We start from the raw sequence: 17,576 nt of genomic DNA on the forward strand, positions 1-17,576 counted from the left end.
ATATGTCTAAGTAACTGAATGAATCAATGTACTGTACAGGATTGTTATTGCCGAACTTGATAAATGTTGAGGAATGTCTACTCAGAATGGTGATTTTGATTTTTTTTTTTCCAAGATGGGGTCTTGCTCTGTTGCCAAGGCTGCAGTTCAGTGTTATAGCTCACTGCAGCCTCAACCTCCGGGGCTCATCCTCCCACCTCAGCCTCCCGAGTAGCTGGGACTACAGGCATGCACCACCAAGCCTGACTAATTTTTGTGTTTTTAGTAGGGATGGGGTTTTGCCATGTTACCCAGACTGGTCTGAAACTCCTGACCTCAAGTGATCCATCCGCCTCGGCCTCCCAAAGTGTTGGGATTACAGGCATGAGCCTCCGCACCCAGCCTGAAGCTTCTCTTTTGTAGCTGTCATGCCTAGCTTGTGACAAACCTTCTGCTAATGGGGATAGATAAAGCATCTATCTTCCTACTTCAAAGTGATATTAAGTTATGAAAGTACTGCTCAATTTCAGCAAGACTTTCACAGCTTAATATCACTTTGAAGTAGTAGATAGATGCTTTATTTCAGAATTTCCTCAGAAATTGAGGAAAAGCCAGTACACACAACTTGTTGGCTGAATCGGAAAATGCCCATCAGGTTAAATGGAGCATAGTCCTATTGATGCTGCCATTCTTGTTTAATTGGCAACTAGGAGTGACTGAAAATACATTTAGGCAAAAATGCTAAATGGTCAAGTGTTAAAATCAATATTTACCTGAAGCCAAGGCCTAAACTAAATAATGCTGTCAGAAAATTTCTGGAATGCAACAGTAAATCCAAAATTGTATTGAAACATTATTAAATGTCTTTAGTTTAAAAATGAGGTTTTCAGCTACACAAGGTGGCTCACGCCTATAATCCGAACACTTTGGAAGGCTGAGGCAGGAGGATCGCTTGAGGCCAGGAGTTCAAAACTGGCTGCCTGGGCAACAAAGCAAGACACTGTCTCTACAAAAATATTTTCAAAATTATCCAGGTGTGGTAGCACAGCCTGTAGTCCCAGTGATATGGGAGCCGGGCAGGGAAGTGCTGGGTAGAGAAGGGTGGGGTCCCTGGCCAAGGCCTCCACCCTTGGGCCTGTGCCCATGGACCTGAATGAGGACAGGTATTTCTGTTTTCAAGCCCAAAAATTGCCTTTTGGCCCGCCACTGCCCCCCGCCCCGACGCCCGCTGGCATCCTGTGCCCATAAAAACCCGAGACCTAGCGGGCACAGACACAAGCAGCCAGACATTGTGAGGAGCAGAGGAACACACCAGCAGACACCTGCAGACCAGCAACAGTGGAATGGCGCAGATGCCGAGGGGATTTCCGCCCAGGGCAGTTGGAGAAGAGTCCCGCCGCTGGGTGGCCCGACTCCAGGGGAAGACCACCTTCCCACTCCATTCCTTGATTCCGGTTCAGCATCCATCTAGCCACCTCCACCACTCAATAAAACCTTGCACTCTACCTTCCAGCCCACGTGTGATCTGATTCTTCCGGTACACTGGGCAAGAACTCAGGAGAGATAGTGTCTTGCTTTGTTGCCCAGGCAGCCAGTTTTGAACTCCTGTCACACTCGCCCCATGTCCTTGCGATAAGGCAGAGGGTCTGCTGAGCTGACTAACCCAAGCCATGGAACACACGCCCACTTGGGCTTTGGGAGTCCTGCTGTGGGGACAGAGCCCAAAAGCACTCTTCACGGCCTCTGCACCCGCTTGTCTGCATGCTCCCCCTAGGGGTTTGAGCAGCAGGGCACTGAATAAGGGAACCACACCTCTGTTGCATGCCCTGCAAGGGGAATAAGAGAACTCTCTCATTTCACCAGCTAGTCCGGAGGCTGAGGCAGGAGGATCACTTGAGCCCGGGAGTTCTAGGCTGCAGGGAGCTGTGACTGTGTCACTGCACTCCAACCTGGGCAACAGAGTGAGGCCTTGTCTCAAAAAAAAAAAAAAAAAAAAAAGAAGTTTTCACATTGAACATTTATTTATTTATTTATTTTTTATTGATCATTCTTGGGTGTTTCTCGCAGAGGGGGATTTGGCAGGGTCATAGGACAATAGTGGAGGGAAGGTCAGCAGATAAACAAGTGAACAAAGGTCTCTGGTTTTCCTAGGCAGAGGACCCTGCGGCCTTCCGCAGTGTTTGTGTCCCTGGGTACTTGAGATTAGGGAGTGGTGATGACTCTTAACGAGCCTGCCGCCTTCAAGCATCTGTTTAACAAAGCCCATCTTGCACCGCCCTTAATCCATTTAACCCTGAGTGGACACGGCACATGTTTCAGAGAGCACAGGGTTGGGGGTAAGGTTATAGATTAACAGGATAAGAATTTTTCTTAATACACAACAAAATGAAAAGTCTCCCATGTCTACCTCTTTCCACACAGACGCAGCAACCATCCGATTTCTCAATCTTTTCCCCACCTTTCCCCCCTTTCTATTCCACAAAACCGCCATTGTCATCATGGCCCGTTCTCAATGAGCTGTTGGGTACACCTCCCAGACGGGGTGGTGGCCGGGCAGAGGGGCTCCTCACTTCCCAGTAGGGGCGGCCGGGCAGAGGCGCCCGTCACCTCCCGTGCGGGGCGGCTGGCCGGGCGGGGGGCTGACCCCCCCACCTCCCTCCCGGACGGGGCGGCTGGCCGGGCGGGGGGGCTCCTCACTTCCCAGTAGCGGCAGCCGGGCAGAGGCGCCCCTCACCTCCCGGACGGGGCGGCTGGCCGGGCGGGGGGCTGACCCCCCCCACCTCCCTCCCGGACGGGGCGGCTGGCCGGGCGGGGGGCTGACCCCCCCACCTCCCTCCCGGACGGGGTGGCTGCCGGGCGGAGACGCTCCTCACTTCCCAGACGGGGTGGCTGCCGGGCGGAGGGGCTCCTCACTTCTCAGACGGGGCGGCCGGGCAGAGACGCTCCTCACCTCCCAGACGGGGTCGCGGCCGGGTAGAGGCGCTCCTCACATCCCAGACGGGGCGGCGGGGCAGAGCCGCTCCCCACATCTCAGACGATGGGCGGCCGGGCAGAGACGCTCCTCACTTCCTAGATGGGATGGCGGCCGGGAAGAGGCGCTCCTCACTTCCTAGATGGGATGGCAGCCGGGCAGAGACGCTCCTCACTTTCGAGACTGGGCAGCCAGGCAGAGGGGCTCCTCATGTCCCAGACGATGGGTGGCCAGGCAGAGACGCTCCTCACTTCCCAGACGGGGTGGCGGCCGGGCAGAGGCTGCAATCTCGGCACTTTGGGAGGCCAAGGCAGGCGGCTGGGAGCTGAACATTTTTATTAATAGGTATATTTTTTGAGACAGAGTCTTGTTCTGTCACCCAGGCTGGAGTGCAGTGGCAAGATCTTGGCTCACTGCAGCCTGTGCCTCTCAGGTTTAAGTGATTCTCATCATGCCTGAGCCTGTCGAATAGCCGGGATTACAGGCGTCTGCCACTACCCATGCTAACTTTTGTATTTTTTGTGGAGACGGGGTTTCACCATGTTGCCCAGGCTGGTCTGGAGCTCCTGACCTCAAGTGATCCACCCACCTTGGTCTCCCAAAGTGCTGGGATTACAGGCATGAGCCATCGCGCCCGGCCAATATAACATACTTTTAAATGACATTTTTTTTTTTGGTGTATAGGTCTCTAAGGAGTTCATAAACAATTTTATGGTGTCATTTTTCTGAATTTCCCCTCTTTCCCTCTCTGCCATCTTTCTGATACTTTCAGGTTTCTAAGGCTTCCATATTCAGTCCTCTGACCAGGAAACTGGCATTTTTAGTTAGTTCATTCTGCCATATATTAATACTTCTTGTGACTGTGCCCATGTCTGGAAGGAAAGAGACAGAGGGAAATGAACCAATGGGTGTTTGCTCCCCTGTCTTGTTACCACACCTCCTCAGAGTTTTAGGCCCCTGAGAGGCCCTTTGACTGCTGCAGCCACTGCTGCTGTCCATGCTGTGATAGGATTGCAAGTTTACTTTGAATTCTTGTCTTCTTTTCCAATATGTCCGCTACCACATACTTTATGGAGTTCTCAAATAGATGCTCCATGCATTCTATCCAGGTTTTATAGCTGCATTCAGTGGGAGAGGCAGAGTGGAATGTGCTTCTACAACTTAACTAGAAAACCAGCTCTTGATGTTTTATACAATCTTTTGAGAGAAATTTGTCTTTGAACAGTGGACCTAGATGTGTTAATAGAGCAATGTAATAGACTCTTAAGATACTGGCTGGTCACGGTGGCTCACGTCTGTAATCCCAGCACTTTGGGAGGTTGAGGTGGGCAGATCACTGGAGGTCGGGAGTTCATGACCAGCCTGGCCAACATCGTGAAACCCCGCCTCTACTGAAAATACAAAAATCAGCTGGGTGTGGTGGTGCACGCCTGTAATCCCAGCTACTCAGGAGGCTGAGGCAGGAGAATCTCTTGAACCCGGGAGGCAGAGGTTGCAGTGAGCCAAGATGACACCACTGCACTCCAGCCTGAGTGACAGAGTGAGACTCCATCTCAAAAAAAAAAAAAAAAAAATCTACGAATTGCCACCTGTATCTTAGCATTCATTGCATGTATGCATCTAGTCAAATTCCGGAAGCCGATTTGCCTAGCTCATCTACAGTTGACCATAGACGCATGAAGGAGCCCAGCTAAGACTGGAAGAACTGCCCAGCTGAGCCCGAATTAAACTCACAACCTGCAGAATTGTTAGCCAAATAAATGGTGCTTTATTAAAACCACTAAGTTTTTGGGTGGTTTTTAAAATAACATAGCAATAGCTAACTGCTACTGTAAGCAAAGTACAACAAAGCATTAATCCATTGTGCTGTGATTTTAAAAAAGATTTCTGGTTGATTTTGCATTTCCAAGGGTACAATGAACAAAGTTTTAAAAGTAGCATAGCTAATAGTATTGCTAATCATTTTTGTGCACAGTAGAATATAATTCAGACAAAACATTTTTCAGTAATTTAATTTTTAGAAGGAATTTTGTACCTGAGATTCATAGCTTGGGCACATTTCAAAAATCCTTCAATTTCAACTACTGAAAATTGTTGGCAGTCTATAAGCATCATTTCAACAAGTTTTGTTTAGATTCTTAAACTCCATAGACTCAACACAATAAGGAATTGCCTTAAAGGATTCCTGTAAAGTCTGTTTTTTTGAAGCTTGCTTAATGAGAATCAAATGAGCTTTGGTTACCTTACTTGTCTCTAACACTTTCTTGTCTTTATAGTCATTACGTTCTTTGTTACTATATTTGGATGAAACATGATTTATCATGGCTGTTGCAAGTGATTTTGGATTTTTTTCCTCATGAACTTCTGAGGCAGAAAAGTTGACATTTAGCTTTTATTTTGTCTTCATAACTATGAAGGATTTTCAAATAAGACTTTTTCTTAAAACACTCATGGCCTTATAATTAAACAATTAAAAATTAAATAAAGTTATTTATTTATTTATTTTTTGAGACAGAGTCTCACTCAGAGTGCAATGGCGTGATCTCAGCTCACTGCAACTTCCGCCTCCCGGGTTCAAGCAATTCTCCTGCCTCAGCCTCCCGAATAGCTGGGATTACAGGCATGCGCCACCACGCCAGGCTAATTTTTGTATTTTTAGTAGGGACAGGGTTTTGTCACGTTGGCCAGGCTGGTCTTGAATTCCTGACCTCAGGTGATCCACCAGCCTCGGCCTCCCAAAGTGCTGGGATTACTGACGTGAGCCACTGCCGCCAGCCAATAAAATTCTTAAAGGCTATTTTGTTTATTGTTCCAAATGCCGATGCAAAAAAAAAATTCTACAAAGATTAGAATTATATCTAATTTTTATTTTTGTTTTATAATTTAAAAAAGTATTTGCTCCAAAAGAATATGATTATCTTAAATGTATTTGGCTACTGCATATTAACCTAATATTTTATTTTATTTTATTCTTGGATTTTGAGACAGGGTCTCACTCTATGGCTCAGGATGGAGTGCAGTGGTGCAATCATAGCTCACTGTAACCTCAAACTCCTGGGCTCAAGTGATCTTCCCACCTTAGCCTCCGGAATAGCTGGAACTACAGATGTGTGCCACCACACCTGGCTAAGTTTAAAAAAAAACTTTGGTAGTCTAAAACTCCTGGCCTCAAGCAATCTTCCCATTTTGACCCCTCAAAGTGCTGGGGTTACAGGCATGAGCCACAATGTCTGGCCCTTAATATTTGTATTGACTGTTCACCTATTTCCCTATTTATTAATAACTTTTTGTAAGTTCCTATGTTTGTACATAAAATTACTTTCATAATCCCCATTAAGTATTGTAGCATTTAACTCCTGCCATAATAAATATATATTTATACTTCAAATGACTGAAACATTTCGACATACAAGGCATATAGGGAGGTTTTTACCCCAGTTGACCTCTAGAATGCTTACCTATATTTAAAATGCTTAGATATTAAAAATAAACCTAAATTATATTCTTTGTTCATATTACCGACAGTTTGGTATTGATTATATATGATGATAACATATAAGATCACATCTTGCACCAGTTCTGGGATGGCAGAAGTAATGTTGAGGTAGACATTTGGCCTTCCAAAGGATAAGGCCAAAGGTGAGAGCAGATTTTGGGCAAATATTAAGGCCAAAGCTAACTTTCTTTACTTTTCTCTTTCTTTCTTTCCTTTCTTTCCTTTCTTTCCTTTCTCTCTTTCTCTCTTTCTTTCCTTCTTTCCTTCTGACAGACTCTCGCTCTGTCACCCGGGCTGGAGTGCAGTGGCACGATCTCAGCTCACTGCAACCTCCACCTCCCGGGTTCAAGTGTTTCTCCTGCCTCAGCCTCCTAAGTAGCTGGGATTACAGGCACCCGCCACCATGCCCAGCTAATTTTTATATTTTTAGTAGAGATGGGGTTTCACCACGTTGGCCAGGCTGGTCTCGATTTCCTGGCCTCAAGTGATCCAGCTGCCTTGGCCTACCCAAAGTGTTGGAATTATGGGCGTGGGCCACCGCGCCTGGCTCCAAAGCTAACTTTCAATGCATCCCTACAGCTGACTCTTACTTTCTCCCCTGCTCCAGAACTGTCCTAGATGATGTGACTTAGAAAGTGTCTGGGATGATTTTAATCCATAAGAGCACACAGAGGAACATTATAACATCCTGCTTCATTTGGCTTCACTTCCACATAGCATCCCGTGCCTTCACTAATACCACCCCCACCCCTGCCCCAGAAGACATAAGTCTCTTCCTTTTGTGAGCTGGGTCCTTTTAAAATTACTAGGGTGGGCAAGTTAAGTGGAGAGTGCACCTGCAGTGAAAAAAGGGAGATAACTGAAAAAAGAAAGACTCTTTCATCTTTTTTGTGATGACTGGATTTTCATGCTGTTATGTGAGATGTGCCTCCCTCAAACCTTGTCATGACATCTTGGCACATTACCCATCTGATGTGAAAAAAAAAAATGGAGGGAAAGAAGTTGACCAGGAGACCGAATATAAGAAGAGCCAGAGAGGACCATGGTTTTCTTTAGAGAAGAAGAGGCTGCAGAGGTGAAGCATCACTGGAATCATTAAATGATTGTTGGAGGTTATGCATTGTTTCTAATTTCCCCTAAGTATAGATGTAAAAATTGCAGGAAACCACTCTTGGATGGAAGAAGGTACATTAAATGTTGGAGAAAGTTGCTGAGGCAGGATCTCAAGAGTCGGGTGGAAGAAGAACCAGTGGAGCAATGATGTCCTCAGAAACCAGCAAACGTACTAGGCAGACTTTCCAGTTTTAATGCTCTTTATGGTGTTGTAAAAAGTAAGAACAGCCTTTCTCTAACAAGGGATATCCTGAACAAGAGATGGGCTGCCCTCAAATTTCTGGTTGTCTATTGCTGATTAAAAGGAAGGCCAGCTAAACACAATGCAGTATCCTAGATTGGATCCTGCAATAGAAAAAGGACATTAGTGGAAAAACTAGTGAAATCTAAGCCTGGAGTTTTGAAAATGTACCAGGATAGGCCGGGCGCGGTGGCTCACACTTGTAATCCCAGCACTTTGGGAGGCCAAGGCTGGTGGATCACCTGAGGTCAGGAGTTCAAGACCAGCCTGACCAACATGGTGAAACCCCATCTCTACTAAAAGTACAAAAATTAGCTGGGCCTGGTGGCACACGCCTGTAATCCCAGCTACTTGGGAGGCTGAGGCAGGAGAATCGCTTGAACCCAGGAGGCAGAGATTGCAGTGAGCTGAGATCGCACCACTGCACTCCAGCCTGGGCGACAGAGTGAGACTCTTTCTCAAAAAAAAAAAAAAAAAAAAAAAAAGAAGAAAGAAAAAGAAAGAGAGAGAGAGAAAGAAAGAAAGAAAAAGAAAGAAAGAAAGGAAAGAAAGAAAGAAAGAAAAGAAAGAAAGAAAGAAAGAAAGAAAGAAAGAAAGAAAGAAAGAAAGAAAGAAAGAAAGAACGAACCAGGATAATATAATGTGTTAACCTTGGTGAAAACTGGATGGGAATATGTGAGAATTCTCTGTACTATCTCTGCAAATTTTCTGCAAATCTAAATTTATTCCAAAAGTGAAAAACAAACAAAAAGAAAAAACCTAAAACTGAGGGAAAATAAGAAGGCATGAATTTGAAAGCAGGCTAGTGGGTTTTTACAGGGAGGCATTTCCTTCAGGGCTAGGCAGAGCCCCCAGAGAAGGTTAAATGGGAAGAACGTAATGACTACTCCAAATATGGACTAGAAAGTAAAGTAATGAAACACAACTGAGGGAAAGTAAGTAGAGGATAGACTCACATCAGGATACTTCGTGTAAATTTTGAGAAAATGATGTCAATATTAACATGTATATTATAATGAGATAGCAATGGTCTAATACAAACTCATTCTCTCATACAGATTATCCTTTAGTGTTTAGCCAATGTTCGATTCACATGGAATTGACATCTGCCACCTTTGGTGAGAGTTATAAGGAACCAGATGTTTTTTTTTTCTCCCTTCCTCCATGCAGATGTGAACTGTGGTTAAACAGTGGTTTTGGAGTGAGATGGTCCAATATTTTTTCTTACCATGTTGTTTCATAGTTTCAAATTCTGCATTAAAAAATTAAACAGCTTAAAAAATGAACAAGTAAAATTATATCAAACTAAAAATCTTCCACATAATGAACTAAATAATCAACAAAATGAAAAGGCTACCCACAGAATGGGAGAAAATACTTGCAAACTATATAGCTGATAAAAGGTACTATGGTCTTAATGTTTGTGTCCCCCCAGATTCATATATTGAAGCCTAATCCCCAATGTGACAGTGTTTCCATTAGGGCAGAGCCCTAATGAATGGTATTAGTGGCCCTATAATGATATTCCCAAAATTCCTTCTGTATGTACTCCATGTGCTTTCTCGATTATCCTATTCTAGTGCAACCACTTTTTGCAATACTGAATTATCAGGCATTAATACCTTAGCATAGATTTGTTTATCTCATCCTAGAGACTGGTAAATGTTTTACTCATTTATTTATTTATTTTAGAGACAGGATCTCACTATGCTGCCCAGGCTGGCCCTGAACTCCTGGGCTCAAGGTATCCTCCCACCTCAATTTACCAAGTAGCTGGGACTGTGGGCACATGCCACCATGCCTGGGAAGACTGGTTAACTTTGATGGGAAATCAGAAAAGACCTTGAGTACCGAGGATGGACTGTGAAAGTGAATGATGAGGTGTAGAACAAAATGGGGAGAGGACACTGGAAATTGCCTCACTTACCTCAGGCTAAGAGTTCTGAAAGCTCCCCTAGCAACTTCAGTCCGTGGGAAGCTTCTGTAAAAATCTTTATTTTAAACTTTTATTTTAGGTTCAGAAGTACATGTGCAGGTTTATTATATAGGTAAACTCATTTCACAAGGGTTTGCTGTACAGATTATTTCATCATCCAAGTGTTAAGCCTAGTACCCAATAGTTATTTTTTCTGCTCCTCTCCCTCCTCCTAACCTCCGCCCTCAAGTAGGCCCCAGTGTCTGTTATTCCTTCTTTGTGTTCATGAGTTCTCATCATTTAGCTCTCACATATAAGTGACAACATGCAATATTTAGTTTTCTGTTACTGCATTCGTTTGCTAAGGATAATAACCTCCAGCTCCATCCATGTTCCCGCAAAAGACACAATTGCATTCTTTTCTATGGCTGCATAGTATTCTATGGTGTGTAAGTACCATATTTTCTTTATCCGGTCTGACATTGATGGGCATTTAGGTTGATTCCATATCTTTGCTATTGTGAATAGTGCTGCAATGAACATTCACATACATGTGTCTTTAAGGTAAAATGATTTATATTCCTCTGGGTGTATACCCAGTATTGGGATTGCTGGGTTGAATGGTAGTTCTGTTTATATCTCTTTGAGGAATTGCCATACTGCTTTCCACAATGGTTGAACTAATTTACACTTGCACCAACAGTGTGTAAGTGTTCCCTTTTCTCCACAACCTCATCAGCATCTGTTATTTTTTGACTTCTTAATAATTGTGGGCGGCAAGCCACCCAGGCGCCGAGGCAAGAGACCGAGGACACGAGCTGTTCCAGCATAATAAAATATAAAAGAATAGTTATACCAGATATAGATCTTAGATATGATTATATACGAATATCATTAATCATTAGTTGGTAGTAATTACTCTTTATCCCAATATTATATAATCCTCGCTCTACAATCATAACCTAGGAAAAACCAGGCCATACAGAGATAGGAGCTGAGGGGACACAGTGAGAAGTGACCAGAAGACAAGAGTGCGAGCCTTCTGTTATACGCAGACAGGGCCACCAGAAGGGCTCCTTGGTCTAGCGGTGACGCCAGCGTCTGGGAAGATGCCCGTTGCCGAGCAGACGGTGGTCTAGCGGTAGCCTCAGTGTCAAGGAAAAACACCAGCTACTTAGCAGACCGGGAAAGGGAGTCTCCCTTTCCCTGGGGGAGTTTAGAGAAGACTCTGCTCCTCCACCTCCTGTGGAAGGCCTGACATCAGTCAGCCTTGCCCGCAGTTATCCAGAGGCCTAACCATCTCCCTGTGATGCTGTGCTTCAGTGGTCACGCTCCTAGTCCGCCTTCATGTTCCATCCTGTACACCTGGCTCTGCCTTCTAGATAGCAGTAGTAAATTAGTGAAAGTACTAATAGTCCCTGATATGCAGAAATAATGGCGTAAGCTGTCTTTCTCTCTGTCTCCTCTCCCTCTCTGCCTTGGCTGCCAGGCAGGGAAGGGCCCCCTGTCCAGTGGACACGTGACCTTACCTATCATTGGAGATGACTCACACCCTTTACCTTGCCCCTTTTGCCTTGTATCCAATAAATAACAGCGCAGCCAGACATTCAGGGCCACTACCGGTCTCGCGCATTGGTGGTAGTGGTCCCCCGGGCCCAGCTGCCTTTTCTTTTATCTCTTTGTCTTGTGTCTTTATTTCTACACTCTCTCGTCGCCGCACACGGGGAGAGACCCACCAACCCTGTGGGACTGGTCCCTACAATAATAGCCATTCTGACTGGGGTGTGAGATAGCATCTCATTGTAATTTTGATTTGCATTTCTCTAATGATCGGTGATGTTGAGCTTTTTTGCATATGCTTGTTGGCCGCATATATGTCTTCTTTTGAAAAGTGTCTGTTCATGTCCTTTGCCTATGTTTTAATGGGGTTGTTTGTTTTTCTCTTGTAAATTTGTTTAAGTTCCTTATGGATGCTGGATATTACACCTTTGTCAGAGGCATGGTTTCCAAAATAGTTTCCCTCATTCTGTAGGTCGTCTGTTTACTCTGTTGATAATTTCTTTTGCTGTGCAGAAGCTCTTAAGTTTAGTTAGATCCCATTTGTCAATTTTTGCTTTTGTTGCAATTGCTTTTGACATTTTTGTCATGAAATCTTTGTCCATTCCTATGCCCAGGATGGTATTGCCTACGTTGTCTTCCAGGATTTTTATAGTTTTAGGTTTTATATTTAAGTCTTTAATCCATCTGGACTTGATTTTTGTATATGGTGTAAGGAAGGGGTCCAGCTTCAATTTCCTGCATATGGATAGTACCAATAGTACCATTTATTGAATAGAGAATCTTTTCCCCATTTCTTGTTTCTGTCAGCTTTGTCAAAGACCAGATGGTTGTAGGTGTGCAGCCCTATTTCTGGGCTCTCTATTCTGTTCCATTGGGCTATGTGCCTGTTTTTGTACCAGTACCATGTTGGTTTGGTTACTGTAGCCCTGTAGTATAGTTTGAAATCGGGCAATGTGATGCCTCCAGCTTTGTTTTTTTTTGCTTAGGATTGCCTTGGTTACTCAGGCTTTTTTTGTTGTTGTTGTTCCATATGAATTTTTAAATAGTTTTTTTCTAGTTCTGTGAAGAATATTGTTGGTAATTTGATAGGAATAGCATTGAATCTGTAAATTGCTTTGGGCCATATGGCCATTTTAATGACATTGATTCCTCCTGTCCATGACCATGGAATGTTTAGTCGTTTGTTTGTGTTATCTCTGATTTCTTTCAGCAGTGTTTTGTAATTCTCCTTGTAGAGAGTTTTCACCTCCCTGGTTAGCTGTATTCCTAGATATGTTATTCTTTTTGTGGCAATTGTGAATGGAATCGCCTTCCTGATTTGGCTCTCAGCTTGGTTTTTGTTGCTGTATAGGAATGCTAGTGATTTTTGTATGTTGATTTGGTATCTTGAAACTTTGCTTAAGTTGTTTATCAGCTGAAGACCATGGGGATTTCTCGATATAGAATCCTGTTGTCTGCCAACAGGGATAGTTTTACTTCTTCTCTTCCTATTTGGATGCCCCTTACTTCTTTTTCTTGCCTGATTGCTCTGTCTAGGACTTCCAATACTGTATTGAATAGGAGTGGTGAGAGAGTGCATTCTTGTCTTGTGCTAGTTTTCAAGGGGAATGCTTCCAGCCTTTGTCCATTCAAGTATGATATTGGCTATGGGTTTGTCATAGATGGCTATTATTATAATATTTTGAGGTATGTTCCTTCAATACCCAGCTTATTGAGAGTTTTTAATATGAAGGAATGTTGAATTTTATCAAAAGCCTTTCCTGCATCTATTGAGGTAATCATGTGGTTTTTGTCTTTAGTTCTGTTTATGTGATGAATCACATTTATTGATTTGCATATGTTGAACCAACCTTGCATCCCTGGTGTTAACGGTGGTGGGTGTCCAGGTTCTTGGCATCTTGAACAAAGAAATGGACAAAATGCACAAATAAGGCAAAGAAGGGATGAAAAGGCTTATTGAAAATGAAAGTACACTCCACAGTGTGGGAGCAGGCCTGAGCATAGGGGCTTAAAGGCCCTGTTACAGAGTTTTTATGAGTTTAAATGCCCTCTACTTGGGGAATGCCCTATGTAAATGAAGAGCATGAAGTGAAGTTACAAAGTCATTTACAGCGTACGCCCTATGGAGAGGATATTTCCTGTCATAGCTGAAGTGTGAACCGGCCTTAGGTTCCCTGCCTCCAGACCCTATTTTCCTGCCTCATCTCCCCCGCTGAGAGATATGATCCCCATAAATCTTTATGGGAGGAAGAGGGACTAATGGTCTTTTTTCTGTAACTGCTTCATGCTGGCTTGAGGCATAGTCCCTACCTATTGGGGATCACAGAACTTGCCCTGCTGTATCTAGTTGAGGCAGGGCAGCTTCTTGATGACCAGGGGTGGTGTCTTCACCTGGAACTGGCTGGAAGCTTTGTTGCATGATCATCTGAAGCTTAATGGTCTCTAGGTGAGAGGAAATGAATTTGGTTAAAAGATTTAATGGGAACTTCAGGGGGTGGATACCTATGCTGTCAGAAATGTTTGTTATAGAGATTTGCAGGAGAAAAAACAAAACCTGGTCTGTTCTAGAATCTATGTGTTTCCTTAGGACAAATCTTAGCACGAGTGACTCCATTTTGGTTTGGTTTGATTTACTGGGGACTAGTGCATGAGCTCAGTTCAAAACAATGGACTCCAGAATTTTGTTTAAAAAAATTTTCCCTTTTTTGTCAGGTTCTAACTTAGGTGAGCATGTGACCAAAACTTAGGGCCTTAGCGCCACTCTCAGTTGCCATCATTGTGGGTTTCCAGTCTCAGCACATCATTTATAGGTTAGTGTCCTCATGGTTGCACATTTCTTTTAGCTCTTGTCATTCCAGTTGCAGAGAGACCATACGACATTCTAGAAATGGCTGCATGCAAACATTTAAAACCTTTGAGAGAATACAACGCATCAGGGAGACTATTATTATGACTATTGTGAGTAAAATACCAAGAGTTTGGAGTATTCTCCTTACTCAAGGTTCCCATAAACAAAATCTCCTAAAATGAAATAGATCAAAGAATGAGCTAGATAAACAGTTTACTCACTTGACTAAGCAATTTTTTCATCAGTCCTCTACCACTGAATTTCTATATTCTTCATTTGATGTATTTCCCCATAGGCCACAAGTGCCAGCAGCTGCACAGGTACTTTTCCGTTTAGCTAATTCTATTATTTAGCATAACTTTCACGAGAGAATCTAAAGTCTGTTGTGTAACTGTAGCCTTTACAGTAGAATTTGCTGTAGAACCTATCATGAGGGATACATTTCTAATCATTGCATCTTTTACTTTAAACCATGGAGAAAGTTGCTAACAAATGATGCACTTTTAGAAAAGTGAAGGCCTTCTGGCAATGTTCTCTTTAACCCACGATGTGGGTTAAGAGGAGTGAACCAGTGTTTTGTTTTTGACTGATTATGAGGCAACACATGTACCGCTAAAGTTTCTTACCCACATTGGGACTTTATCTATCAAAGTATAAGGTTATCTATGTATAAGGGTGGCTGCAAACTCCTTCACAAATAAAAGTATACACCATAAGTGCACACAACAGACCCCTTTTCTACTTCTATTGTTCATAGAGGCATAAGCAAGAAAAAACATTGAAAGATAAGAGTTTCTTGACAGTAGAAGTCTTAATCTGTGAACTTGGGAAAAGCTGTTCACATCAAATATGCCATCTTCTTCTTGGGAGAAATTTCCCTGGTTAGCTTTACCTCAAGGGTTCCAATGGGTGCACAGTTCCAAAAGTGTGGAGGGACCCTTCTCAGTTGTGAGACCATGAACCCAAAGCCTAAGGTCCTGAAGTTTTGTTGTAGTGTAAATAGCAAGGCGAGTCTTTCTCCGATGTTCTCAGAAGATCCATACCATGAAAAGCTTTCTTTACCTAGTGAAAATACACTGTAGCATAATAATCTACTGTTATAACATCAGCACTCTTGCATGGGAAAGCTTTTCTACAACCAGAAAACATGCATTGAGAATAACAATGGAATGAAATCCCTTTATACAATGTTTAAATGACCCTCCAGGTGACCAGATGTATCTGAAGCTTTAATTGTTTTCCCAGGAATATGGGATCAAGTACTGGTTATAAACTATTTTAGTAATTTGTAAGTCACTACACCAATGTATTCAATTTGGATCATTATATCTTTTCCATGATGAGTCATGAAATGCAGAACTTTTATAATGAAAGCTTTAAGAACTCAGGAAGGACAAGGTGGCCATCCAGGTTCTCCATGAGTCCACGCTTAATTAACATTAGACTTATATCCTCTCGGATACCAGTTGTTTTTCCAAATTAGGTACATAGCACTGACAAGAAAATTTGGTTATTTTTGTGGTTTACAATAACTTAACATAATAACCGTAATTATAATTGATAGCATATACTTAGACATTAGAATTTTAGAAATCCCGTACAATTTAGGAATATGTATTAGTATTATTCACAAAAATATAGCCTAAAGAAGATTGAACATTATTTTGGGAATCCCATGTATCTAAACATGTCAAATAATCCTGTTTACCTCTTTTCTGGATGTTTTCAGGGACCCTCTGATTCATCCAGAAAGCCAGGCATTAGGAAAGACAATTTTGAAACTGAAGTTTGATTTTGGAATTCCAGATTACCATAAATTATTTATTTTGCCAAAATGATGACTCAGAAATTTTAAAGAAGCAAAAATCTTTTATAACCTTAAAAAAACCCCCACACATTCTACTGTTCTTACACACCTCACATGTAAAACTATTTCTAGTAGTCTTAATTGCATGTTATAATGGCGAATTTTAATGTAAGACCCGGTAAGTTATGTTCTGATAAGGTTTGACTATTTCCAGCATAGCTAGGGGCGTGGCTAACTTCACATGTCCCCAGGCCTTACCTAGCTGGAAAGCAGGCAAGTTAAACAATTTCCAAAAGCCAAAGAAGCAGTTTATGGTCTTAAAGCATTTAGCAAACCTAATATTTGAACATAATTTACACCACATGTTTACATTTTGAAGACATTTGTATTTTACCAAGAATCTTGAAAACCATCTTTATTTTCCAAAGATTGCTAAAGTCACACATGAACTAAAAGACATTACATTTTCTACTTTTTTGACAAAATATTTGATTTAAGCTATTATTATTAAACCAATTAATTTAAAACTTCACAGAGGAGATTAACCAGTTTGCACAGAGAGAAAGAGGCCAGAGACTGACAGGTAAGAAATTCTTACCCTTTTGCTGGCAGGCCAGGTTTCTGGGTTCTCTCTCCCTGAGCGGCCCTAGTGAACCTGCTTGACTGCATGCAAAAAAACACATTGCTATGAATTAAGAATATTCATAGATAGTTTACAAATTTTGGAGAAACTAGGCAGAGAGAGAAATATGACTCAAATTCTATTTGTAAGCATATACTCAATACACTTAAAGTGTCAGGAAGCCTAAAATCCATAAAGTTAGTTGAAGGATAAAAAGCTGGTGTGCTCCAATAATTCCTGCAGCCCAACAAGGGTAGTTTAGGAATTCCAGATAAATAGAAAGGATGATAACTTGCTAGAAATGCACAGGAAACAAAATAACTATTCACAGAACCAAATAAAAGGCTTACACTAGCATGGTTTTATGTATATGGATACACAAGCAAAGCCAGAGGAAAATAAATAGCAAACAAATGAAAACTAGAAGCAAAAACAAACAAAAAATTAACCTAAATTTTCCTACTCAATTTACCATGGAGGCTACAGTTTTACCTAGGGCCCCCCCTAAAACCCCACATAATGAATATTTTATTCCTGATACACAATTCAATATCCTTAAGTTCACCAATATCATTATACATTCTGAGCAATCAGGAAATCTACTTTAGGCACATGACCAGTAAGTACTCCAGCACCATCCACGCAAAACAGTAAACATACTGTGAAGCAATGCAAGCATGTATGTGAAATTTGGCTTCACACTAAATCCAGCTTCATGGTTAACTATATTAAAAAAAATTGCCAAACTGCCAATGCATTTTTACAATACTTCTTACTTTAATCAAGACTAAGAGCTTTAACTATGAAAATGTTAATTAGCCAAATGTTTCCAATTCTTTATCAGGTTTTAAAGAATATTTTATTTAAACTTTTTCCACATCTTTCTCTCCTACTTAATGGTTCCTTACTACATTGTTTCATAAATAACCTTTTCAAATCTGTAATTTGAACGAACTTTTAGATAACTTCTGAATTAGACAAAAATTATTCTTTTTTCACTAATAACATAACCCTTTCTGGCACA

At 42.2% G+C, this 17,576-nt stretch overlaps 1 non-coding gene across 1 annotated transcript, besides 1 other annotated feature; it reads left to right on the forward strand.

Moving 5' to 3' along the window:
* Positions 1,327-1,984: an enhancer, noted in NCBI's record as "NANOG-H3K27ac-H3K4me1 hESC enhancer chrX:123261133-123261790 (GRCh37/hg19 assembly coordinates)". NCBI's record gives its function as "activates a minimal SCP1, AML or CMV promoter by ChIP-STARR-seq in primed H9 embryonic stem cells {active_cell/tissue: H9 hESC(primed)}" and the evidence as "EXISTENCE:reporter gene assay evidence [ECO:0000049][PMID:30033119]".
* On the forward strand, positions 7,320-7,421 carry LOC124905280 (small nucleolar RNA U13). Its single transcript, XR_007068443.1, has one exon. It is a non-coding gene; the product is annotated as a small nucleolar RNA U13 (small nucleolar RNA).

The sequence above is a fragment of the Homo sapiens genome, chromosome X (genome assembly GCF_000001405.40).
Source record: "Homo sapiens chromosome X, GRCh38.p14 Primary Assembly".
NCBI lineage: Eukaryota > Metazoa > Chordata > Mammalia > Primates > Hominidae > Homo > Homo sapiens.